This window comes from Homo sapiens, chromosome 17, assembly GCF_000001405.40.
Source record: "Homo sapiens chromosome 17, GRCh38.p14 Primary Assembly".
Lineage (NCBI taxonomy): Eukaryota > Metazoa > Chordata > Mammalia > Primates > Hominidae > Homo > Homo sapiens.
In genome coordinates this window covers 50,532,207-50,556,174 of record NC_000017.11, presented here as the reverse complement: position 1 = coordinate 50,556,174, position 23,968 = coordinate 50,532,207, and the positions used below count along the sequence as shown (strand labels likewise).

At 57.9% G+C, this 23,968-nt stretch overlaps 2 protein-coding genes and 1 long non-coding RNA gene across 5 annotated transcripts, besides 6 other annotated features; 1 reads left to right on the top strand and 2 right to left on the bottom strand.

Moving 5' to 3' along the window:
- On the bottom strand, positions 323–9,001 carry SPATA20 (spermatogenesis associated 20). 3 transcript variants are annotated; one of them, NM_001258373.2, is made up of 17 exons: positions 8,890–9,001; positions 8,408–8,510; positions 7,722–7,892; positions 7,557–7,621; positions 7,211–7,365; positions 6,989–7,132; positions 6,688–6,889; positions 6,060–6,190; positions 5,863–5,967; positions 5,565–5,639; positions 5,258–5,467; positions 4,985–5,177; positions 4,496–4,664; positions 3,995–4,206; positions 1,725–1,924; positions 863–943; positions 323–683 (listed from the first exon to the last, which is right to left on the bottom strand). In NM_001258373.2, the coding sequence occupies exons 3-17, from the start codon at positions 7,835–7,837 to the stop codon at positions 513–515; spliced, it is 2,229 nt and encodes a 742-aa protein (NP_001245302.1). In that variant the 5' UTR covers positions 7,838–7,892; positions 8,408–8,510; positions 8,890–9,001; the 3' UTR covers positions 323–512. The 3 variants fall into 3 exon arrangements, with proteins under 3 accessions (NP_001245302.1, NP_073738.2, NP_001245301.1); NM_022827.4 differs by having other exon boundaries at positions 8,408–8,455; NM_001258372.2 differs by lacking the exon at positions 8,408–8,510.
- Positions 7,093–7,314: a silencer, noted in NCBI's record as "fragment chr17:48626222-48626443 (GRCh37/hg19 assembly coordinates)". NCBI's record gives its function as "represses an EF-1alpha promoter that drives an FKBP-Casp9 reporter gene in an ReSE screen in phorbol 12-myristate 13-acetate-treated (for megakaryocytic differentiation) K562 erythroleukemia cells {active_cell/tissue: K562(+PMA)}" and the evidence as "EXISTENCE:reporter gene assay evidence [ECO:0000049][PMID:32094911]".
- Positions 8,722–8,991: a silencer, noted in NCBI's record as "silent region_8704". NCBI's record gives its function as "represses an Ori minimal core promoter by ATAC-STARR-seq in GM12878 lymphoblastoid cells {active_cell/tissue: GM12878}" and the evidence as "EXISTENCE:reporter gene assay evidence [ECO:0000049][PMID:35858748]".
- On the bottom strand, positions 12,425–23,440 carry EPN3 (epsin 3). The gene is made up of 10 exons (NM_017957.3): positions 23,190–23,440; positions 19,057–19,754; positions 17,978–18,096; positions 17,211–17,291; positions 16,860–16,988; positions 15,841–15,928; positions 15,113–15,382; positions 14,842–14,946; positions 14,481–14,711; positions 12,425–14,331 (listed from the first exon to the last, which is right to left on the bottom strand). Exons 2-10 carry the CDS (start codon positions 19,616–19,618, stop codon positions 14,018–14,020), a joined length of 1,899 nt encoding a protein of 632 aa, NP_060427.2. The 5' UTR covers positions 19,619–19,754; positions 23,190–23,440; the 3' UTR covers positions 12,425–14,017.
- Positions 12,619–13,119: an enhancer, noted in NCBI's record as "H3K4me1 hESC enhancer chr17:48620417-48620917 (GRCh37/hg19 assembly coordinates)". NCBI's record gives its function as "activates a minimal SCP1, AML or CMV promoter by ChIP-STARR-seq in naive H9 embryonic stem cells {active_cell/tissue: H9 hESC(naive)}" and the evidence as "EXISTENCE:reporter gene assay evidence [ECO:0000049][PMID:30033119]".
- Positions 13,856–14,295: a silencer, noted in NCBI's record as "silent region_8703". NCBI's record gives its function as "represses an Ori minimal core promoter by ATAC-STARR-seq in GM12878 lymphoblastoid cells {active_cell/tissue: GM12878}" and the evidence as "EXISTENCE:reporter gene assay evidence [ECO:0000049][PMID:35858748]".
- LOC105371824 (uncharacterized) lies at positions 17,421–18,881 on the top strand. The gene is made up of 3 exons (NR_135675.1): positions 17,421–17,584; positions 18,014–18,248; positions 18,674–18,881. It is a non-coding gene; the product is annotated as an uncharacterized LOC105371824 (long non-coding RNA).
- Positions 21,221–21,897: an enhancer, noted in NCBI's record as "H3K4me1 hESC enhancer chr17:48611639-48612315 (GRCh37/hg19 assembly coordinates)". NCBI's record gives its function as "activates a minimal SCP1, AML or CMV promoter by ChIP-STARR-seq in primed H9 embryonic stem cells {active_cell/tissue: H9 hESC(primed)}" and the evidence as "EXISTENCE:reporter gene assay evidence [ECO:0000049][PMID:30033119]".
- Positions 21,898–22,574: an enhancer, noted in NCBI's record as "H3K4me1 hESC enhancer chr17:48610962-48611638 (GRCh37/hg19 assembly coordinates)". NCBI's record gives its function as "activates a minimal SCP1, AML or CMV promoter by ChIP-STARR-seq in primed H9 embryonic stem cells {active_cell/tissue: H9 hESC(primed)}" and the evidence as "EXISTENCE:reporter gene assay evidence [ECO:0000049][PMID:30033119]".
- Positions 23,441–23,968: the final 528 nt, after the last annotated feature.

The following is a 23,968-nucleotide window of genomic DNA, read 5'->3' as shown; positions in this document are numbered from 1 at the left end:
ACAATGGGGAGGGGAGGGCAGGTTCCCTTCTTAACCTCTTTCTGAGGGCAAGGATTGTGCTTTCTCCCTCCTGGGCCAGTCCACACCCCCATGCCCACCCCTGGGCATCTTTACTTGGTTTTAGTCCCCTGACCTCAGTTCAGGGGACTAAATTCATTCAGGCTACAATGACCATGGAAGGGAAAGGGGCAGTCTGCTGACCCCTGGAAGATGAAGGAGAAATGGGAGAAGGCAGAGGGGTCAGGTGGGGGCTGCCAGAGGAAGTGGCCCTGAGCTGCTGGTTCCCAGTCCCTCCCTCATAAGCAAAGCTGAGGCCCTCAGGTTACCACGGGACACTGTTAAGTTTATTCTAGGGTGAGTGGGTGCCCAAGGGGGGCAGTGAGTATGGCCGAGGTCACCTGGTGGCAGGGTGCTCAGGGATGGCCACAGGTTCTATAGGGCCCTGCAGGGCCTGAGTCTCTAGTCAGTTGGGATGCTTCACCTTCTGCCCCACCCCAAGGGGGTTGGGGCAGTCATGGATGTAGTAGTTTTCGTAATTCGCAGGGATCAGTGATGGGCACTGAGCAGGCTTGATTCTCACACACATATGCAGTGGCCTGGTCTTCCAACCGTCGGAGGGTACTCAGGAAAGGCAGCTGGCGGGACAGGAAGCTCGAGGGGTCCCCATCAGCCAGAATCAGCACCTAGGGCAGCAGCAGAGCAGGGAGAGTCACCTGCCGGGGTGGGGTCACCTGCCCATTAGAAAGGCCCACTGGGAAGTTCCCTCTTCCCAACATTCTGAGGGGAAGGAGATGTTGAGGAGCTGAGGATGGGAGGGGGCAGCTCTGGGGAGGTGGCAGATTGGGCTCACAGGGATGGGTACCTTGTTAGGAATGTAGACAGAGTGGACGCACTGCACCAGGGCCTTGGTGTCCTTGGCCTGACGGTCTCCACAGATCACGATCTGACCGGAATAGAAAGGTCACTCCGGTGTGTCAGGGGAGGGAGGGCTGAGCCCTAGACCACCAGGGCTTCCCCATCCTCCTTCCGCCCCACCGTATATCTCTAAGAAGGAACAGGGACTCATCTCAGCTGCCAGGATGAGTTAATGCTTGGCAAGTGGGAACACACACACACACTCACACATGAGAATACCGAAGTGGAAATGTCATACATATACACAATGGTACAGATACAAACATGGGGAGACACACACCCAGAAGACCCAGAGCACACAGAGACCCATTCAGACAGACACAGAGTAGTCACACACACACACACACACACACACACACACACACACACACACAGTAGATGCCCACACAGAGGCAGATACCACACACACAAACACCAGACACACACGCATGCAGGCAGACACAGAGGCAAACCTGCAGATGGGGCATCCACATGCAGACAGACAAACACTCACACCAGCATCCCCCTCAAAGGTAGGTGCACAGACACACACCTCCAGGGTCACACACACCCGGAAGTACACACACACCAGTAACACAGTATGGACAGAAGCAATTACACTGACACCAAGACGTACAGAGAAACACTTCATCAGCCACCACGGACTCATATTAACTTCTGCCTCCCTGTCTGACAGGCCACGTGCCTGCACACACACAGACCTGAGCTCTGGGGACAGCCCAGGAACCCCACCCCCTGTTCCCATCTGCCATCGCAGCCCCAACTTCCCTCCTACCCGAGGTCCCAGCCCAGATGCCCTCACCCCCCACCTGCTTGAGGGTCTGCTGCTGGGCTGAGAGGGCGCGGACCATCTCGGGCAACGCCACCGGGACACGACGCATGCGCTCGGAAAAGGCGGTCAATAGGCACACACACTTGTCCATCCAGTCCTTGTGGCCCGTGAAGCCATGCAGCCGGAGCAGGTTGTGGGCTGACACGGAATTGGCGCTGGGCTCTGCTCCATCCTGGTCTACAGCACATAGGGAGGCAGGGGGTGGGGGTAAGGGCAGGTCACTGAGTCCCAGGACCCTGCCCAGGACTGTATCCAGGGCCACTTGGGGGACGGGACAGAGAAAAGGCCCTGCCCATCCTGCCCCTTCCCCGCTCTGGGTGTGGATGCCACTCCAGCAGTTATCAGTACTTTGCTGTCTTTTTTATGGCACCCTCCACTCTACCTGTCCTAGCCTCAACTGTTGGTCTCCAGGCTCCCTCCTCGCTGCTGATGCCTCTGTCCAGCCACTCAGCTGCTCAAGCTAGAGCGGCATCATCCTGTCCCCTTCCTCTCCCTCTCCCTCCGCTTCTAATCCATCTGTGAGTCTTGCCAGGGCTGTGGCCAGAAGAGATCCAAATCTCACCATGTCTCCCCATCTCATACTTCCACATCCTCTGAGCCTTCACCAATGCCTGCCTGGACTGAACACGAGTAATGGCCTCCTAACTGGTCGCCTGTTTCCCCCACCCCCACTTCTCTCCATCAGTGGTCAGAGTGACCTCCTTAAAACCATACCAGAGCAGATCACAATCCACTTAAAACCTCCTTGCCAGCCGGGCATGGTGGCTCACACCTGTAGTCCCAGCACCTGGGAAGCCGAGGCGGGAGGATCACCTGAGCCCAGGAGTTTGAGACCAGCCTTCTTTTCTTAGGAAAAAAAAAAAAAAAAGACGGCTTCCGTGCCCTGCCGGCCTCAGCATTCTCCTCGGTGCCCTCCTGGAACACGCGGGCCCTGCCTGTCCTCCAGGATACAGGCTGCCTGCACCAGGCCTGTCATGCACTGCTCCCTATGCCTGAACTCTCTCCACAGCTTCTCCATGGCCACATGGCCCCTCTTTCCCTCCAGGCCTTGGTTAAATGACACCTGTCACAGGTGTCCTCTAATCTCTCCCTAGGCTGAGTTGGTCCTCCTCTGTGGTTCTCTCCCAAGGCCCTTTCATTCACTCAGTTAACATTTATTAAGCACTTACAATGTGCCAGAACCACACTAGACCCTGGGGATACAACAGTGGCAGAAAGTCCTGATCTTTGAGGAGCTAAAATTTGAGTTTTGGGAAAGAAACCTTTAACCACAGACAAGGCACATGGGTGATAGGGAGCAGGCACACATAGAGCGTCCTACTTCTTCATGGCACTCACCACAATTTTAACTGCACATTTGTGCATGTGTTTTTGCATCATTACTGCATTTTCGCTGTCTCCCCTACCATACTGTAAGCTTCATGAGGGCAGAGACCAAGTGAGCCTTGGTCAATATCTGAATCCATGGGTGTCAGTTACTGTGCTAAGCATGTTTACAGAACAGCTACATTCATCTTTACATCAACCCTGTAAGGTAGTACCAATGTTAGCTCCATTTTACTTATTAAGAAACAGGCCAGGCATGGTGGCTCTCGCCTGTAATCCCAGCACTTTGGGAGGCCGAGGTGGGCAGATCACTTGAGCCCAGTAGTTTCAGACCAGCCTGGGCAACATGGAGAAATCCCATCTCTACAAAAAATTAGCCAGGCATGGTGGTGCATGCCTATAGTCCTAGCTACTCAGGAGGCTGAGGTGGGAGAATTGATTCAGCCCCGGAGGCAGAGGTTGCTGTGAGCCAAGATCATGCCACTGCATTCCAGCCTGGGTGACAGTGAGACCCTGTCTCAAAAAAAAAAAAAAAAGAGAAAGAAAGAGAGAAAGAAAAGAAAGAAAGGAAGAAAGGAAAGAGAAAGAAAGAAAGAGAAAGGAAATAAAAAGAAAAGAAAGGAACGAAACAAAACACGCTGAGTGTAGTGGTTCATGCCTGTAATCCCAGCACTTTGGGAGGCCGAGGTGGGAGGATCACTTGAGCCCAGGATTTCAAGATCAGCCTGGGCAACATAGCAAGACTCTGTCTCTATTTAAAAAAAAGAAATTGAGACACAGAAATATTACAGCAGCCAAAAATCACGCCATTAATAAGTAGCAGAGACACAAAGCCAGGAGGGCTCCTGCCCACACCAGCTCTTCACCCACGCTGCACTTACACCTCCCAGGACCCCAGACTAGCCCTGCACCCCCACTGACCGTCCTTCAGACGCAGGGGCAGGCCAGCCCCCAGCTCAGCCTCACTGCAGAAGTAGCCGCCACCCTGGGAGTCCCAAAAGAGCTTGTCCTGTGTGTCCTGCAGCCGCAGAGCCCACTCGAGCCACGCACTCTCCTGTGAGGCCTCATACAGGTCCAGCAGGCCCCGCACCACGAAGGCGTAGTCCTCCAGGAAGCCCCAGCAGGGTGGGTTGCTGGGGGACAGGCATTACGGGAGGGGCTGGGGAGAGCCCCAGGAGAGAGGGCCTTTCCCAGAGGAGGCCCTTTCACGCATTTGTTCACTTAACCCTCCAGATGAACCCTCTTGGGCAGGTGCCATCAGCCCACTTCCCAGATGAGTAAATGGGCCCAGGGAAGCTACAAACTCACAGCAAGCACCTGGCAGAGCCAGGACTGGAGTCCACATGGAGGGGAGAAGTAGGGCAGAGGTAGGCTGGGGACGCGTTGGGGAGACGGGCCCTCCCGGTCTACCCAGCCCCCAACCTGTGCTCCACAGTCCCCCCAGGGCCGGTGTAGCAGGTCCGCATCAGGCGGCCACTGGCCACATCAAACATGTGCCGCTTCAGGAACTTGGCACCATTGGTGGCATAGTTGATCAGCCTGTCTTGGCCCAGGACAGCCCCAGTCACAGCATAGCCTGACACCATCAAGCCTGGAGCCAGGAGAGACAAGTAGTGGTAAGAAGCTGGCCAGGACCCTCCAGGCATGTCCACCCTATCACCTTAGGCCCCAACACCTCCCTGGAGCCATGGGTGATCCCTAAGATCTTGGGCTCCAAAGCCAGACATGGCGGGGTTCCCAGCCCTTGCGCGTGACCTTGGGCGGGTTACTCAAGCTCCTTAAGCCTCTTTTGTCAACTGAGAATAATAACGCTAATCAAGGGAGAGTGAGCATTTAGCCGCTGCCGGAAAGACAGGGGCTTTGTGAAGGGGGATCCTACAGACAGGCTCGGTCTCAGGTGTGCTGCCCCACCATTCCAGGCAGCCAGCATCTTGCTGTCCAGGTGCGGCTTGGGCCGATGCTTCCGGGCCTGGAAGAGCTTCTCCAGCCCTGAATTGAGCAAGGTCCGCACGGCCTCCACATCCAAGCCAAAGCGGGCAGCAGTCAGCTCCAGCGAGTACCGGACGGTCAGCACATTCTGGCCCTGCAGCTCCCCCTTGGGGTCCTGAGGAGAATGGCCTTTGTCTGCGAGCTCACACGCCTGGCAGGCACCAGGGCCCGTCAGGTGACCCCAGAAGTCCTCACCTGACTGGGGCTGATGTTACCAGCCTCTGTGAGGCCGTAGTGCTTCATGAGGAGCTGGCCTGAGGTCAGCGGCTCGGTGGCACCCAACACAGGCTCCGGGAGGAGCTGCTGAACCTCTTTGACCGTCCACACATAGTAGGCGCCCTCTTTGGGCCGCTGGCCCCGCTCTGGGGGCGAGTCTGCATCTTCTGCGCTATAGAAGCCTCCGGACTGTGGGGAGGGGAGAGTTGGCTGGCCCCGGCCCACAGGGCAGTGGAGGCCCCAACCCCTCCCACAGCCAGGCCTGCCTGCCACCATGGACACACACCCGGTGGCTCAGGCTCCGAGCCACGTACTGCAGGATGCCTTTGGCCACGTCAGAGTAGAATTCATCACCAGAGAGCTAAGAAAGGGAAGAAAGGAGACTGTGAACAGAGAGGTCACTGGGGAGGCCCAGGTGGAAGGTGGCAACATTCTCTGAGGCAGGCGGGGGAGGGAAGCCTGGGTAGTGGGTACATGGGAGGGAACAGGGGATTCAGATTAAGAGAAGCCACAGTCACCAGGAAGGCCTTGGGAGGGGCAGCCAGAGTGAGATGCCTGTTCTCTGGGCTGGGGTCAGGGGTCACCTGGAAGGCCTGCGAATAGGCCACAGCGAGCTGTGCCTGGTCATAGAGCATCTTCTCAAAGTGAGGGACGTGCCACTGGCGGTCTGTGGAGTAGCGGTGAAAGCCCTGTGCGGATACAAAGCTGGAGGCCAGTCCCAGCTTCTGCCCCACCCCACAGCCCCCTGCTGCCCCTCCAGGGAACACCCAGTGCCCGTCACCTGCCCCACATGGTCCCGGATGCCCCCGTTAGCCATCATTTTCAGGGTATGCAAGGCCATCTGCTGGGCCCGAGAGCCATCCTGAGTCAGTCGATGGCTGAGCCAGTAGGAGAACAGGAAGCTCAGGATCACTGTGGGGGCACCAAGAACATGCAGGTGAGAGAATGGGAAAGTGGGGACAGAGATCGGGGTGGTCAGGAGGCCTTGGGCCAGGCAGAGGCTGGGAGTTCACTCAACAGGCAGTCTCTGGACAGGCTGTGAGGTCAAGAGTCAACCCACAGGACAGAAGGTAATAGCCTAAGCCAGAGGTCAGAATATCATTGGTTCACAGAGGACCAGTAAGTTACTTGTCCCCCTAGAGCCCAGAATGTCATTAGCCAAGTCAGGGTCACTGGGTCACTGACCAAGTCAGGGGACAGAAGGTCATCATCTAGGTTAAGGTGAGAGGGTCACTGCTGACACCAGCAGTCGGGTCTTCACCGATAGCTACCGACAGGCTAGGGGCAAGGAGGTCACTGCCAGTCAGGAGGACAGGAAGCTATGGGTGAGGCCAGGAGCCAGTAGGTCCCTGACCAGCATAGGAATCAGAAGGCCAAAGCCTGGGCTAAGGCGGGCGTGGGGCACTGACCCGGCGTGGGAAACTTGGGGGCCTCAGCGAAGCCACCGTATTCCTCATCATAGCCCTCATCCAGCTGCTGGAAGCAGCGATTGTTCACGGTGGCGGCAGAGGGCGGCAGCTGGCGGTCACCCACGCTGATCTCTGATCGGGCCAGCAGGGCAGTGGTGACACGCTGGCTATTTTCTAGCAGGGTGTTCTTGTTCTGTTTCCACTGCGGGAGGTGGGGGCACACCTGGAGGTCAGCTAGGGGGAGGGGCTCTTGTTTCCTAGTCCCCCACCCTGGTCCCCCAACTCCCGGAGGCACACCCACCTGTTCTCGTATTCTCAGCAACACTGTGCGGAAGCCGACTCGGGTCAAGCCATCCTCAGGAGGGAAATAGGTGCCCCCGACAAAGGGCTGGAGGTTGGGAGTCAGCCACACATTCATGGGCCAGCCCCCGCCGCTGCTGGTGGCCTGGCGGAGAGAGGGCGAGGGTGAGGGGAGCTGCTCTGAGCCCATGTGGCGCATACACTCCCGAGGAGGGCTGCTCACCTGCACGAACGTCATGTACACCTTGTCCACGTCAGGCCGCTCCTCACGGTCTACCTTCACACTCACAAAGTCCTCACTGAGCAGGCGGCCAATCTCCTCATTCTGGAAGGACTCCTCTTCCATCATGTGGCACCAGTGGCAGGTGGAGTACCCGACTGAACAGGGCCATGGGGAGAGGTCAGGGGGCCAGCAACGGGTCAGAGGGAGGCTGGCCAAGTGGCCCTGGCTACATGGAAGACGTCCTGGCCTCTAGTCTCCTGGAAGACCCGCCAGGCCGAGAGGACCCTCCCCCATCCACTGCCACTCCCTGCCCACACCCCCACATCAGGGAAGGTGGGAGCATTACCTGAGAGGAAAATCGGCTTGTTTTCCTTCCTGGCCTTGTCGAAGGCTTCCTGTCCCCAGGGGTACCTAGACCCAGCAGGGTGGGGCATCACTCAGTAGCCCAGGGGGTCTGGGAGGGGCCCAGGACCCCAGCGATTCCAGGCAGGGCCCCAGGAGAGGTGCTCACCAGTCCACAGGATTGTAGGCATGTTGTAGGAGGTATGGTGACTTCTCGTGGATCAGGCGGTTGGGGACCCTCTGGGGTGTAGATGAAGGATGGCTTCCTTTCCCTCCAGCAGGCATGGGCACTGAACTACTGACCGTCGCACTTCGGTCCTTGTCCCGGGAGGAGCTACCCCTGGCGAGGACTGGTGCATCAGGCAAGCCAGGGGCCTCCACCCACCTTCTCCCAGGCCCCCCAGCACCTGCTCCATTTCACTCAGCACCCCAGTAGGACCCCTGCTCCCAGCCCAACCCACCTTTCTGAACCATGGGGGAGACTGTGGCCTTTGTGCTCCCCCTTATGTTTTTTGGGGGGTGAGGAGAGGTGGCTCATTGGGGGCTCCTTGCCAGGTTAGTCTCCCCCAACCTCCTGGGCCTGGCGGTGGGAAGGATGGCTGTGAGGTCAGGGCGGGTCACAATGGGCAGAATGGTTCTTGGGGCTCCATTCTTACCCCTCCCCAGGCCCCTCCCCCGGCCCTTCCTGGAGCAGCTGCTTGGAGGCATCTCTCTGGCAGGCCTGGGTGTGGCCCCACTGGAAGGCAGCCTACTGTTGGTGGCTGGACAGGCCAAGATCAGTAGGGTCTGGGACTCGACCAGGTGAGGGACAAACAGAGGAAACCAGACATGGGGACTCCCTCACTCAGCGCCCACCTGCTGGGACTCCTGTGGGGCCAGGTCCTGGGCCAGACTCCAGGACACCTAGGGAATCAGAGACCTCAGGGAGTTCAGCCTGGAAGTGGGACTGCAGGCAGACCTAAATAACGAAAGGTCCATGCAGCAATAAAGGACTGTGACAGGGCACAGGGTACTATTGGAGAAAGGCCCTTGACCCAGCATCCAGCACTGGGGTGCAAGGAAGGCTTCCTGGAAGCAGTGTCAGAACAGTCCCTGAGGAGCTGGCACTGCACTGGAAGGAAGGGGAGAGGAGGGAAGGGATGAGGACGGGAGAGGAGGGGAGGAGGGCCTTACAGCCAGAGCCAGGTCTCAGGAGCAGACCGGAGGTGGGGTGGGGGAAGGGCCAGGCATGCAGGGGTGGTCCAGACTGGCACTGGGGACCGGTGTCCGGAAGACCCTCCACTGGGCCCGCAGGCAGGCGCAGGGAGTGCCCTAGGGGCCCGCTCGCCCGCCCGTACCTGCGGCTCGCGGCGAGGCCTGCACCGGCGCGGGGCAGCAGAAGGACGCGGCCCAACCAGGCCCGCGCGCCCAGCATGGCTGCTCGGGGCCGTGGGCCCGGCCGCTGAGGACAGGAAGGGAAGTCAGGAGGCTGCGAGGGGCGGGCCGGGCACCTACGGAGCCGCGGGCGGGTCTTCGCCGGGACTTGGGACAGTGTGGCTGGTCTCCGAGCGTCGCCCTGCGGCGGAGCGCAGAATTGCAGATCAGGCACCCGAGCCTTGGGAGGACCCATTCTGTGCATAAAACTGGGCTCTGCCCCTGCCTGGGGAGGACAGCCCTTCTCAAGGGAATAGGGAGAGTTGTGGGATCTAGGGCTGGGAGATGCTAGGGACATGGGATGCCAGAGCTTCAGCTCATTTTGTCCAACCCCTGCCCATTTTACAAATGAGAAATGAGATCCAAGGCGAAGGCGTACCTTGGCCAGGTCCACCAGCTAACAAGGTTTGCTTTTTGCAGCCTCCTCGTCTCTAGGTCCTACTCAAATCCTACCCACTCCAGGAAGTCTTCCTTAAATAATACTGATGAGCCCATTTTATGTCTCATAGGTTACACATGGCCTCATTGGCTACATTCAGCCAATATTTATTAAGTGCCTGCCGCCTGCCACTCTGCAAGGCACTGAGTATACAATGGTGGGCAGAGAGAAACAAGGCTCCTGCCCTCACATGGCTCACAGTCTGTTGAGAGCGGCAGATGCTAATTCGACAGCCATACCGATAAACACCCACGTGACAAGTCCGTGAGGGTATAACGTAACAAGTGACCTGATCTGGTGGAAGGGGCAAAGGATGAAGGCTTCCCTGAGGAAATCACATTTGTGAAGCCATGGAGAACGAGAGAAAGGAACTTGGAGGGTGCTCAGGGGGAGTGCTGGGGAAGGAGGCAGAGGTACAGTTTGTGCAAAGGTCCCGTGGCTTGTCAGTGAGTCCGGGCTGAGCAACTGCAGAAAGAGGGAAGACAGGCAGTAGATGAGGGCAGAGGCAAGATCTTGGAGACACTCGTGAACTGTAAGAAGGGGATTTTTATTTTTTGAGACAGAGTCTCGCTCTGTCACCCAGGCTGGAGTGCAGTGGTGTGATCTCGGCTCACTGCAACCTCCGCATCCTGGGTTCAAGGCTGGTCTCGAACTCCTGACCTCAGGTGATCCATCTGCCTTGGCCTCCCAAAGTGCTGGGATTACAGGCATGAGCCACCATACCCGACCCCATTTTTTTTTAGCCAGAGTCTCACTCTGTTGCCCAGGCTGGAGTGCAGTGGATCTTGGCTCTCTGCAACCTCCACCTCCTAGGTTTAAGCGATTCTTGTGCCTCAGCCTTCCAAGTAGCTGGGACTACAGGAGCGCGCCACCATGCCCAGCTAATTTTTGTATTTTTAGTAGAGACGGGGTTTCGCCATGTTGCCTAGGCTGGTCTCAAACTCCTGACCTCAAGCGATCCATCTGCCTCAGCCTCCGAAGTGCTGGGATTACAGGTGTGAGCCACCGTGCCTGGCCAGAGAAGGGGATTTTTGATGACAGTAGAAGCAAGCTATTGAAAGGCTTTAGTCAGGAGGGTTACCAGTTAGATCTGCGTTTTGGAAAGATCCCACCAGCTTCCCAGTGGAGAATGAACTGGAAAGGGGCAAGAGTGAAAGCAGGGGCAGATAGGAGGCTATAGCAGCACCCAGGGGGAGATGGGGGAGCAGAGATGCAGAGAAAGGGATGGGCTGGAAGTCGGTCAAGGAGGAAACGTCGTCAGGATGGGCGGCGACAAAGAAGGCGGTGTCCAGGGTGACTTGCAAGGTGGGGCCGTTCCCTCAAGAGAGGGCATGGGGTGGGGGTGGGGGGACAACTCATGGGGTTCATTGTGGGACCTGTGGGTTTGAGATGTGCACATGGAGGCAGAGATGACACTGCTTGGAGGACAGAGGAGAGGCTTCAGGAGAGAGGATTGGGGGTCTTGACTGTTGAGACCATGTGGGTGTGGAGCTGATCCAGGGAGACCATGCAGAGGAGCAGAGAAGAGGGCTCAGGTCCAGGCTTAAGTAAGCCTGTGAAAGACACAGATGGAGGCAGGGCATGGTGGCTCACGCCTGTAATCCCAGCACTTTGGGAGGCCGAGGAGGGTGGATCACCTGAGGTCAGGAGTTTTAGACCAACCTGACCAACATGGAGAAACCCCCATCTCTACTAAAAATACAAAATTAGCCGGGCATGGTGGCGCATGCCTGTAATCCTTGCTACTCGGGAGGCTGAGGCAGGAGAATCGCTTGAACCCGGGAGGCGGAGGTTGCGGTGAGCCGAGATTTCATGATTGCACCCCAGCCTGGGCAACAAGAGCGAAACTCTGTCTCAAAAAAAGAAGAAAGAAAGAAAGAAAGAAAGACACAGAAGGGAAGCAGCCAGGGTGCAAAGGACAGCACCCCAGAGATGAAGGACAGAGTGCCTACATGTCAGACTCCTGAGGGGCCAGCCTGGCTGGGACAGAAAAATGTCCACTGGCTTCAGCAACATGGAGGCCATTGGTGTGCTTAGTGGGCGTCGTTCTAGTGAAGTCAGGCTGAGAGCAGAAGTTGCCGAGTCGGCTGAGGAGGAAGAGGAAAGGGAGGGGAGACAGAGAGAGATGATGGGTGCTTGACATGAGAGGATAGATGGGAAGACACTGTCAAGATGGATGGAGCTAATTAAGACACATTTCGATGGGAAGGATTCGTTTGAGAGAAAGTGGTGGACGCCATCAAGGATAGAAGAGATGGTGGTCCTGGGTGACTCTGAGAATGTGGGGTGTGGCGGGTTGTTGGAAGGGTTGGCTAGCCGGAGGGTCCAGTGGGTGCTCCAAAGAACATGTTCTGGCTAGAAGGAATGAGGTTAAGCTCAGAGAGCCAGAAGCCTGCCTTGAATGTAGAGGAATCTGGGGTGATGACAAACCTCCAAGTGTGACCATGGTGAGGGTCATTGAGAGGTCAAGGGGCCATAAGGTCCTTGGATAATGGAGCGACTTGAAATTGAGGTAAGAGCTGGATGAGAAGACCATGAGCCAAGACCGAAGCATCCCAAAAGTGAGGTGGAGTGGCAGCCCCAGGCAGGGAAGAGACAGAATGACTTATGGCACCAACCTCCTAGCAGGAGGGGTCTTATAAGGAGGGAGGCAGGAAGCAAGGCTGCCAACTTTTTTTGTGGGAAACAAAACAGCTCCCCTTGGGAGTCCTCGGGGGGATCCAGTTTAGAAGAAGAGAGCCTGGGTGGCAGGGCCACAAAGGGTGGATCAGGGGCCAAGAAGGATGGAACATCCCAGGTTTGGGTGCAGCAGAAGATATTAATAGATGGGTGCTGGACTCTGGGTATTGCCTGGCAAAACCAGGAGTGAAAGCCATGATGGGTTCGTGCCTCATGGTCAGTCTTTGAAGAGGGTGGACTCTGAGCTGAATGGACACGCCTGGGGACATCCACATAGTAACCTCACAAGGAAGAAACTTCTGATCCCGTTTGACAAGTAAGGAAACGCAGGCACAGAGACATGGAGAGGGTAAGTAATTTACTCAAGGTCACAGAGCATAACCACTTATTACTAAGTGATTCTTGTTAGGGTCAAACCTTGGAGCAGAACTTTGAACCCTGTAAGTCTGACTCCTGAGCAGGTGTTCTTGTCCATCCTGTTTGTAACTGCATTGTGGGACTCCCTTCCCCTACCCCCACCTCAGGAAGGGGAGTGGCATTGTGCCTCTCCACTCACCGACTCTGGTGGAAGGCCATTTGTCCCTGAAAGGGGGATGGAGGCTGGCTGCAGGCTGCCTGCAGAGCCAGACCCCAAGCACTGAGGACACATCAGTGTCCAGTGGTCCAGTGATCAGGGAGCATTGAGAAGAAAAACAGGCGAGGGTGGTCATAGGGGCCCCTCCTGGATTGAGTACCAGGCCTCACCCCACCCTTGGTTTCCCAGACTCCACATAAACCCCCAGAAGGGGTCCGATTCCTCCTGTGTGGCTAAGACTGAGTTTCTCGCTAGCCTTGGCGAAGCAAGGGAGAGGGCAGAGTTACATTTAAGGTGACTCAGTAAAACAAAGGAGCCTGGGAGCTCCTGCACTTGGCTTCTGCCACAGCCGCATCACGTGCCCCTGGCTTGTCTACCCTGCTGCGCTCGAGCTCCTGGAGGTTGGATCCCTCCAAGGTGAGCCCAGCACTTTGTCCACAGCAGTCAGTCAATATTTGCTGAATTAAATCTGGGGCCCAGCCTGGGATCTCCAGGCCTTGGAGCCAGACTGTCTGACTCTTGAGTTCCAGCCCCGCCCCATGCCAGCTTTGTGACTTTGAGCATGCCATTCAACCTCTCTGAGCCACGGTTTCCTTGCCTGAAAAATGGGAGTAGTGCCGGCTGCAAGGTGAGATACCTGTGCAATCGCACTGCAGTGGGCTTTGCGCTTGGTTTCATGCTCTGTTGTCCCTGTTTTGAAATTCTTCATACGATTTTGAACAAGGAGCCCCTACATTTTTATTTTGTATTGAGCCCCACAGATTATGTAGCCGGGATCCTGAACGGAATTAACAATATTTTCTACCTCAGAGAGTCGTTGCAAGCATTAAATAAACTGATCTGCTTAGCACGTAAGCAGTACCCAATAAATAGGAACAAAGGCCTATTGTCTCTTGCTGTTAGCCCAACCCCAGTGCCCATGTGTGATAAATGAATGAAATGACCGAATTGAGTGACAGCCTGGCAGCATCTGGAAGCGAAGGTGCCTGGGTGACGGGGGATGGAGGTGAGGGTTGAGAAGAGCTGTAAAGGAAGCGGGGCAGTTTTGCACCCCACGTTGTGCAGCTGCAGTTTCCTAAACAGCCGGTGATCCACGCTGTGGTCGAGACCCGGCCGCCACACCCCGCAAAAAGTCCACTTGGTGAGAGCTGAGAACGAGGGTTCCAGTCTTTATTATGCGGGCGTTCAGTTTCTAGCTCCCGGGCCGTGGTCCGCGTCCAGCTTCCAGAGCCGCCGCGGGATACCAGCCGCCACTGGCTCGGCGTTCCACTAGCACCGGCGCCCCGCCCAGCCCCGGGTCCGGAGGCGGGGCCGCGGAGCGTCCGGCGCAGGCGCAGGCCGGTATGGGACGGGGCGGGGCTCAGAGGAAGGGGTTGGTGCCGGTCTGCGGGGGCGGGGGCCGCGGCCCGGCTGAGCTCGGCGTGGGCAGCAGCGGCTGCGGTGCGAAGGCTCCGGCCTGCGGGAAGACGCTAACCGAGGCGGGGAGGGTCAAGCCAGCTGGCACGCTGCTGAGCGGGAGGGGCAGAGAGGCGCTGTAGGTCATGGAGCCCAGGGGCGCCCCCACAGGCCCGCCTGCCAGGCCCAGCGCCGGCGAGCCGGTGCGCATCTGGTTTAGCGTCGGCCTGCCCGGCTCGCCCGCGCCGAACGGGTTGGTGGGGGACGGAGCGCTGAGACCTGCAGAACGAGAGTGGCTTTGAGTGACCCGGGGTTCAGAGCCCTACACCGGGAGGTCGTGGAAGTTGGGAAGAAGAGTGGGCTCCTCCGGCGGAGGCTAGGCTCTGAAAGCAGGAGCCCCTGGGTTGAGGGACAAGGGCATATCTTACCTGTCAGGAAGGGGTTCCGGGTCTTTGCAACCTGGGGTGCCTTGACCAACGAGTCAAGGTTGACCAAGGAGGAAGCTGAGGGACCCAGGAAGGACTCGGGAGTCCGGCAAGCTCGGGCCTCTTTGCTTGGCTGGGTTAGTGCTTCCCCTAGTATGCCCAGGTCCAGGGCATCTGGCTCCTTCGTGCCATTTTGCTTGGAACTGGGGCTGGGGTCTCCAAACAGGTCCAGCTCTGGAATAGAAATGCTAGAGCTAATTGGTGGGGAAAGGGATTGGCGCCCGACGTGGGAGGAAGAGGACAGAGGCTGCTCGGGGTGGGCCCCTCATTCCCCAGAGCCTCACCATCCCCTTGCCCTGCTCACCCACAGGGCTGCTGGGCTTCCCAGAGGGCAGGGCCTGCTCCAGCCCCTCCTTGGTCTCTGTGGATTCTGGAGGTTTGGCAAATGGGTCAAAGGTCGAGGCACCACCTCGGAAGAGAGAGAGGAAGAGGAGATGGGTTGACAAAAAGGGCAGGTGTTGGTCTGACCCCTTTCCAGAGAAGCTGTCCTCCTAACACAAACAGTATCTGCTGCCCCTTGGCCCTGCCTGGAAGTCCCCCAGCTCCTCACTCACACTCTCTGGCCCTCTTCTTACCAGGTGTGTCGGAGGTCTCCAGGGAGGCTCCCCAAGGGTCAGCCCCAGTGCTGGGGAGTTTGTGGTGGGGAGAGTTCAGGGCCCAGGGGTCTGTGGTGGGGGGCCCAGCAGGCAGCACTGGGGTCCTGCCCCAGGGCTCAGAGGAGGAGAGCATGGGAGTCAGATCCCAGGGCTGGCTTCGGGACAGGACGGTTCCTGAGGGGATCGGAGACCAGGGGTCTGCAGAAGGCCCCCAGGAGGATCCACTGGCCTCTGTGTTCGGCCTAAAACCTGAAATGGGAACAGCATAGACATGATCCCAGGCCCACCCTTATCCCTCGCCCAGGGCCCTTCCCAGTTACCCAGCCCAAGTTGGGAGGCAGAAGATCCATGTCACAGATGGCCTGCAGCCTCAGGACCACCCAGCAGGCTGGAGCCCCTATTTGACAAGTGACCCCAGGAACTGGGACCTGCAGGTGTGGGCGACTCAGGCCACCTTCCCAGGCGTGCTGAGCAAGTGAGTGCAGCGAGAGAACATTTTGCTGCGTTTCCTAGGAGCTGGGCCCTTCAGACATTCTCCATAGCCCTCACTACGAAAGCCTGTCCCACAGGCGGCGGAGGCTCAAGGTGGTGAGTGACTTGCCCGGTGACACTCAGATTTTGGGAGGAGGTGCTTGGCCCAGCAAGTGGCTGGGAAGGAGGAGGCTCTTGGGCCAGCCTGGAAGTCTCTTGCAGCCCTGCATGCCCACCTGGGATGTCCCATGGGTCAGCAGAGCAGTGTGTGGAGGGCGGGGCCAGGGCAGGTACGAAGATGTCAGCCAAGTCCAGGATGGAGGACTGTGGAGGGGAGAGGCAGCCGCGGCTCAGAAGTGGGCGGGGCCTGGAGGGAGGGCAGGCCCTGACCTGTCAGGCTAATGCCAGTTCATTCTCTTTATTCATTCCACAGATACCTATTCATGATCCCTCACCTCTGCACAGTGCTTTACAGTTTATAATGTTTCTTCATCCACAGAGTACCTGATTTTCATAACAACCCTGTGAGGTAGGTAGGGCAGATGATGTACCCATTTTATGGATGAGCCAGCCAGCGCACAGAGGGTGGAATGGGTTTGCCTGAAGTCACACAGCCAGGGAGAGGCAGAGCTGGGATAGAATCCAGGCCAGCAGAAAGGGGCAGGAAGGCCAAAGGCAGATGTTTTTCAACCAGCCTACCTCCCTAGGTCAGTGTCCAAGAGAAACTGGCCACAGTGAACATGGACGGAAAGGAGACCACAGCACCCGGGCGTGGCATGGACAGCTTTGGAGGGCAGCCTTGCACTCAGCAGCTGCCCACTCCCCATGCGGAGAAAATATGTCCATGAGCCCGAGGTGTTTTCAGCACCATGTGCTTAGGCCAACCCTAGTCTTGATTGACAGTATCACATAATCCTAGCATGTCAGAGCTGGAACTATCCAATAAGCACACTGTGCAGAAGGGGAAACTGAGGCCATGACAGTGACATGCCCCAAGTCATAGAGTAAGTGGCAGCAAATCCAGAACCCGAATCCGGGGGTCTCCAATCAGGAACCTTTTGCATCCCACTTTGCTGTTAACTCAGTCACCAGCCCATGCAATGTGGGACTAGGGCTGCTACACCCCCACCCCTATTTCATCGAATAAACACATCAGTGCTTACTATATGCCAGGCACTGCTCTGCTCTCTCTTTACAAATACTCAGTCCATCTCTTAGGCCCTGTCCATCCCAAGCACCGCAGCCCACTCCCTACCTGGCTGGTTTTTAGCTTCTCCTCCTCCTTTCTCTCTTCTCTCTCAGGCTCTCTGTCCCGCTGATGGTGGACCACGGCCCCTGCACCATTGGCCATGGGGGAGCCATCACCCTGCCAGGACCTCACCTCCTGCAGAAGGCACAGAAAGAGTTAGGAGCATGAGCAGCTCAGGCGGGAATCCGGGGACCTGTGCACCAGAGGCTGGAGTCGAGAGAGTGCAGGGTGGGAGGCAGCTGAGAGGTTAGGAGCAGCAGGGCCACCGGGTACAGCGGGAGGAGGCTGTTAGTGCCCTGAAGCACCTCCACCAGCAGCAGCAGCAGCACCGGCAGCCCAGCGGGCTCGGCCCACTACCTTCTCGTGCTCCTGCCGGCTCAGGCGCAGAGCCAGCTGCAGCTGCAGGTCCTCGTCCCTGTGGGAGGCTGGGGGGACAGGCTGCGGAGGAAGAGAGGGGTAAACTTGGCCCTGTACCCCCACCTTGGGACCAGAAGGGCAGTATAGGCCTGCCTGGGTCATGGGGATGGAGACACTAATGCCCACCCTCAGTGTGCATGGGCCATTTGCCGCTCAGTCAGCAGGGTGGGCGTGGCCTTCTCCCTGCCTGCATCTGAAATGCAGTTTAAAGGTCAGGAAGACTGATCTTTCGCTTCTGAATCCTCTGAGAGTTCCTCAGGCCCTCCTGTGTGAGGCCCAGCTGCTTCCTGCCTGGTCTTCCTGGATCCACAGAGGTAATGGCAAAGATGATGATATCGGGGGCCTGTCCTTGTCTCCCCAAAAGGATAGCTGGTGGGCGGGGGTGGGAAGCATATCCCAGTGTCTCCTAGGAATATGTCTGAGCACACTCACCCACTCCACCATGAGGTGGTAGCAGGCACCCCAAGACATAGCATGTGCCCCTAATTGTACACTCGCCACCCTTTCCAGGCCCAGTGGAGAGGACTGGAGGCAGGGAGGCAGTCCCTGCCTGCGACAAACCGACAGAGATAATGGGTCTTGTGCTGTCCTTGGGCACAGGACTGGGGCTTTGGGTGACAGAGCCTGAGTCAAGGCCAAGGGGCTCCCAGGCACTCTCTCCCCCTAGCCCATCCCCTCCCCACCGCAGTGGGGCTGCATGGCCTCACCTTCTCTGCCTCCTCACGGCTCATGGCGAGGGCCAGCTGCAGCTGCAGTTCCTCTTCCCCTGACGTCTGAGGCCGGGCCTGCTCCAGGTCGGAGGTATAGCGGGGTGACGAAGAGGAGGCTGCAATGACCATCATGTCTCTGTGACCACACGATTACCCATCGGCTCCCACACCCCTCTGCCTGCCAGGAAGCTGAGGCTCAAGAGAACTGAGAGGAGGGGAACAACGGCCGTTGAGGCCCCCGTGGGCCAAGCAGTGTGCCAGGCACTCTGTAAGTTCCCCATCCCAACCCATCCCGGATGGAGGGGCGGCTCCAGTCCCTCCTTAGCAGATGCACAGGCGGCACTTAGGGCCCCTGACCAGGTTCCTGAAGCAGGACTTGAACCCAGGTGCCCTGACTCCAGCTCTTGGACTTCCAGATGGACCCTGTCCTGGCTTGGGGGCAAGGGAGGTGCAAGGATAGGAGGTTCTAGTCCAACGAGGTCACAACCTCAAAGCCCTCAGCAAACTGTCAAGGGCTTTATGGAAGGCGGGCCATTCTGAGTATTCCTCAGATCCTGGAAGCCCCCATGACTGGGGGCAGGAGAGTCAGGGACTGTCTAGCCGCTGCCCTCAGGTAGGGGGATGAAGGGGAATGCCATGTGTCTGGGTGCAGGGTAGAGGACGTTCCTGAACCTGGTCTCATTTCATTCTCAGATCAAACAATGGAGGTAGGTGAGCTTATCCCCACTGTACAGATGAGGAAACTGAGGTTCAGAGAACTGGTTGCCCAGGTCACACAGCTTGGAGGAAGCAGAATATAGAATGCTATCTGACTCCAAACCCATGCTTCCACTATCGCGCCATCCTATCAGGCAGCTAACGAATGATAATGAATCTATAACAACGTTATTATCTGAGCTAACTTGTTGAGCACCTCCTATGTGCCGGGTGTTGCGCCTTGCGTGTTACATTCCTTATGTCTGAATCTTCATAACACCCCTCGGAGGTAGGTATTATGAACCATGGCTTGGATTGCAGAGCCAGGAATGGAAGTCGGGCCACCTCCCCATCCCAGCCACACACCGGGGCTTACTCACAGTTGTAGGAGGACGGGGAGCCCCGGGAGCGGCTGTAGTCCTCGCCGTAGCGGCGGCTGAAGCCCAGCTGCCCACTGCCAATGCCGATGCCCTCCAGTGCCATGCGCTCCTTGGTCTTGAGGGCGTGGGTTCGCTCCTGCCGCAGCCGCTCCTCATCCTTGAGCAGGGCCATCACCTGCTTGACCTTCTCGCGCACGTTGACGCCCTGGTCCTTGCCGTCGCGGTCGATGTACTGGAAGTCCTTGAGTGTCTGGATGGTGTAGAGGTTCTCGCGGCACTGGTGGGCCACCCGCTCGGAGCCCGTCTTGAGCAGGTAGTCCAGCAATGTTAGAGCCTTGTACACGTGCCGCCAGTTCTTGCCGCTGTCATTGAGCCGCCGCCACAGCATGCCCATGACTTCGGTGAAGGCCACTGTGTTGAAGGTCAGGTCAGCGATCTCGGACATGAGCGAACTAGGGGGGCCCCAGGGGTCATTGCTGGTGGCCTCGCGCACCTTGATTTCTGCCTCGGAGTAGTTGTGCACGATGTTCTTCACCTGGCGCCGGAGTGCGGAGGTCGTCATGGCTGGAGACTTGGAGGTGGGTGGCCCTCGCCCCCGCCGGAGGTGGAGGGCTGAGGGCCACTGTGGCGAGGTCACAGTCTTGAAGGATGGGCTGCCGTGTTAGCAGAGCAGCTGCATCCTTGGGTTCCACATGGGGCTGAGGAAGAGAGGGCCAGGAACTCAGGGGCAGAGGCCTACCTCATGGGTCACTCAGCCACTGACCAACTAAATGAGGCCTGGCCAGAGTGTCCCTGCCTCCAGGGACAGCCTTCAGCGGCACACGTTCTTATTTCACTTACAATTCAGCAGGCACTTGGAGCTTTGCATGCTCATCTATCTATCTTCACAGCCACACCCCAAAGATGCTATTATCATTACCTCCATCCACAGATGGGAAAGGTGGGGCTCAGAGTATTAAATGGGCCCGGTGCAGTGGCTCACGCCTGTAATTCCAGGACTTCAGGAGGCCAAGGCAAGAGGATCACTTGAGGCCAGTAGTTGGAGGCTGCAGTGAGCCATGGTCAGGCCACTGGGCAACAGAGCGAGACCCTGTAATATTAAGTGACTTGTCCGAGATCACAGAGCTGCTGCATGGGGAACCAAGATGACCCCAGGAAGCCCCACCTAAGAGTGCATGGCCTCATGGGGGAACGCTAACAGGATTCCAGGAATGCCCGCTTGCCTTGCTTCTGCTCGGCCACTGCCTCTGTTTCTGCTGAGATCTAGCTTAAGACCTATCCTTCCTAGCTCCTCAGCTCACTTTTCTCATATTGTTAATTTTTGTAGTTTGATGCATTCAACACCTATTTCCCGGAGGCCTTTTCTGAGCCAGGCACCATGCCAGGCACAGAACACACGCCTTGGTCCACCCACGTTCAGTTGAGAGGGTACAGAAAATCACAGTCCAGTGTGGGAGTGCAGAGCCGCACAGGAAGACCCAAGCCAGGAAAATCAGGGGAGACTTCCTAGAGGAGGTGGTGACAGAGCTGAGATCCAAGATCACAAGGGAAGAGTAAGGAGGAGTGAACCAGCAAGTCAGGGGAGGGCGGCTCAGAAGAAATGCTATGACCTGGGCCAGAAGGCAAGAGAGCAAGTATCGTTTGAGGAAGACTGCCCCTCAGAGTTCTGGCCACTGCCAACACTCCTGCATGCCACCCCCACGTACACATGGAAGTGTTGAGGCCAGAGAGGGGATGGGACCTGCCTGCATCATATGGCACGTAAGTGGCAGAGCCTGGACTACCATCCAGGACTCCAGAAGACTAATCCAATTCTTATTGTCAGTGTTACCCAGTTTGGTCATTATTTCATCGGATTGCTTTACTGTCTCAGTCCCACCTTCTCAGCTAGAATGGAAGCTCCCTGAGAGTAGGAACAGTCTGGGTTCTCCAAAGCCCCAAAACGCTGGACACATAGTGGACCTCTGGTACCCCAGCAGGGAGAAGAGCTGGGCCAGCCCAATTCCCCCCAGTAGCCACAGGTCCAGGCTATCTGCTGAATACAACTCCAGGCCCAAGGTCCTCCCAAAGGCCCTTTCAGAAACCAAAAGAGGAATTCCCTGACCACCACCATTCCTCCCACACTAGCACTGGTGTGTGCATGCACACACACACTGTCTGGGCCTGCAGAGCCTCCACTTCACCCGTGAACTGTCCCCCACCCACCAAACACCTTTCGGCTCCACCCTCCATCCCAGCCCGTGCCCCAACTGGTCCCCAGGCTGCCAGAAGCAGGAATCTGAAGGAGACTGTCCTCTCGCACCCGATTCCACGCTCCTTCCACCCCAGCCCCGCCAGTGCTGGGCTCAGTTCAAAGCAGCCCCACGCTTTGAAAACATGCCTTGGCAGGTTTTGTTGGGGGCCCAGAGAATAAGATACCGTGGGAGTGGGCGAGGTGGAGAGTGCCTGGCCCACAGCGCAGCCTACCTTTTGTCTGCTATCTCTTTCCTTCCAGCGGGTCGTGGGCCTTCTGTGGGAATGCCACGGCCACAACTTGTTTAACTCCTGCCCTCCCCCTTGCTAGTGACTCAGACCTGCCTTCACCTCCCCAACCCGTGGCTGGGGGTGGCAGAGTCAAGATGGGAAATAATGTGCACCAAAGCCCGCCCAGCACACGCCCCTACCGGCTGGCCGCTGGAACTAGCAGAACCAGTCGGGCACTGTGACTGCACCAGAGCCCTACCTGGACCTGGCTGCCCTGGCCCTCCGGCCTGGCCTGTGTGGGGGCACCAGCCTCTGGGAGGGGACTCTCGGTGTGGGCCCAGCGGCCCTGCCTGGACCTTTCTCACAGAAGGTGGGCATTCTCTGCACACCCCTGCAGGGGCTGGGGGGAAGGGCGGGGCCAGAAACATGGGGAGGCACCTTGATTTTCCTTCTCTGGAGTTTGAGGGGACAAGGTGAGGCTGCCCAAGCACAGAGAAGGGAGGAGGAAAGGAAGAAGCCTGCCCAAGCGCAGAGAAGGGAGGAGGAAAGGAAGAAGCCTGCCCAAGCGCAGAGAAGGGAGGAGGAAAGGAAGGAACGCGGGAACGCGGGAGGGAGCAGCTGGGAGCGCTGCCAGCAGTGTTACAAGCAAAGGGTTTTATCGAACACGATATGCCCAGAAATAAAAGGGAGTGTAACAGAAACCCAGCGGCCGATAAGGCGGTGGCGGTAGCAGCAGCAGCCCTGGGCAGCTGGGTATGGAATTACTGCAGTGACCTTGAGCCAGACCCTGTCAGGTGGAGGGAAGGGCACAGAGAGGGCAGGGCCTGAGAATTCAGAGATGACGAGAGGGCAGAGGAGGGAGGAAGCTGAGGGGATGGGAGCAGGGCCAGCAGGCGGTGGGATGGGCCACGGGGCACGGAGTATCAGCTCTCTCCTGCATACAGGGTCCCAAGGAGAACTGCGCAGTAGGGAGGGGCTGCTCTTCTCAGGGCCTGCAGGATGGGGGGATCTGGAGAGTTTCCCAAAAGTCAGGACCGAAAAATGCAGATCGCTCATCCCCAGCAAGGGTTTCGGAGAGATGGAGAGAACCCAGATCTGTCCAGTCACACGTGCATGAGTTTGCGTAAAGTCTGTGCACCCACCAGCCCAGCCCACACCCTCTTCCCGTCCTCTGCTAAGGTGGGCTCCAGCCCCTGCCTCCAAGTCAGATCCAGCCTGAGCAGTGGGGAATGACAGTGCCCTTCTTGATGCTGTAAGGGACAGGGGGTGAGCTTGAACTCTAAGCTTCTGGCCACTGTAATAGCTGCATCCCGGGAGCACAGAAGATGGGGGAGGGGGGACTGCCCTGAGGCTAGAGGTGTGCATGAGGGGCTGAAGAAGAGGAAACAGCAGAGATGTGCAGAAGGAGTCTGTGGGGAATGCCACCAAAGATGCTAAGATGCCACCAAAGATGCTAAGTCCCAGGATGGTTGGGGAGGGGGCCCTGAGTCCCTTTTTGGGGGCGGCAGGGAGGGAGGGGTGGCAGGAAAGAAGCCTTTAGGTCCTCTACAGCTCAGCCTTCTCCCTCGCACCTGGAAAAGAGACTAAGCCCCAGAACCACTGTTTGCTCCCCACCAACCCCCGCCTTCCATGCCGCCACTGCCAGGGAGGGGGCCAGGGAGGAAGCTTACCTCCAGTGCGGGCTCCCTCGGCCCCAGCCCCAGCCCGAGTAGCCTCTGCGGTGACCCTCCGACCTGTGCAGCAGCGGGACGGCACAGCCTCGGGAGCGTCTCCAGAGCCATCCACCATGGACCCTCGTCCCAGAGACCCACCTGCTCCCAGGAGGTGCAGACCCCTCAGAGGGGCAGCGGCAGGGTCCCTGGAATGGGTAGCAGCTCTTCCCGCGTGCGTTTGCCTCCTAGCCAGCGCCAGGCAGCACTCCGAGGAAAGTTGCTCAGCTGGCCCGGCAGGTCTGCCTCAGCAGTAACAGGACACAGGAGGAAGTGCAGGGCAGGTTAACCCCTTCCTGCTGGCCAGGCAAGTGGTGCATTGAGAGGTGGGGGGCCTGCCTGTTGGCCGCCCCCAGGAAGTGCACATCTGGAGCCAGTGCTGGCGACCTGATCCCCTCTGCTTTGAGTTAACCCTTCCCCTGCCTCTTCAACAGGAAAGGAGGGGGGCTCCAACACCCCCACCACACCCCTCCCCTTCCTCCTCTGGGCCGGGAGGACATTAAAGGAGAGGGCAGGGACATTCCCTGGGGCTGGCTCTTTGGTGGAGCCCCCGTCTTCTCGTCTTCTTGGGGAGGAGAGCATCAGGACTCCAGCACAGCCCCCTCCCTGCCTTTCCCACACGGAGTCAGATCCTTCTGTCCATCCTCCCCCTCCTGCATCTCAGCTGGAGGATGCCTGAGGCCCACTTAAGGATGCCCACCCACCCAAAAACCAAAGTTGTTCTTCAAACTCTGGGAGCC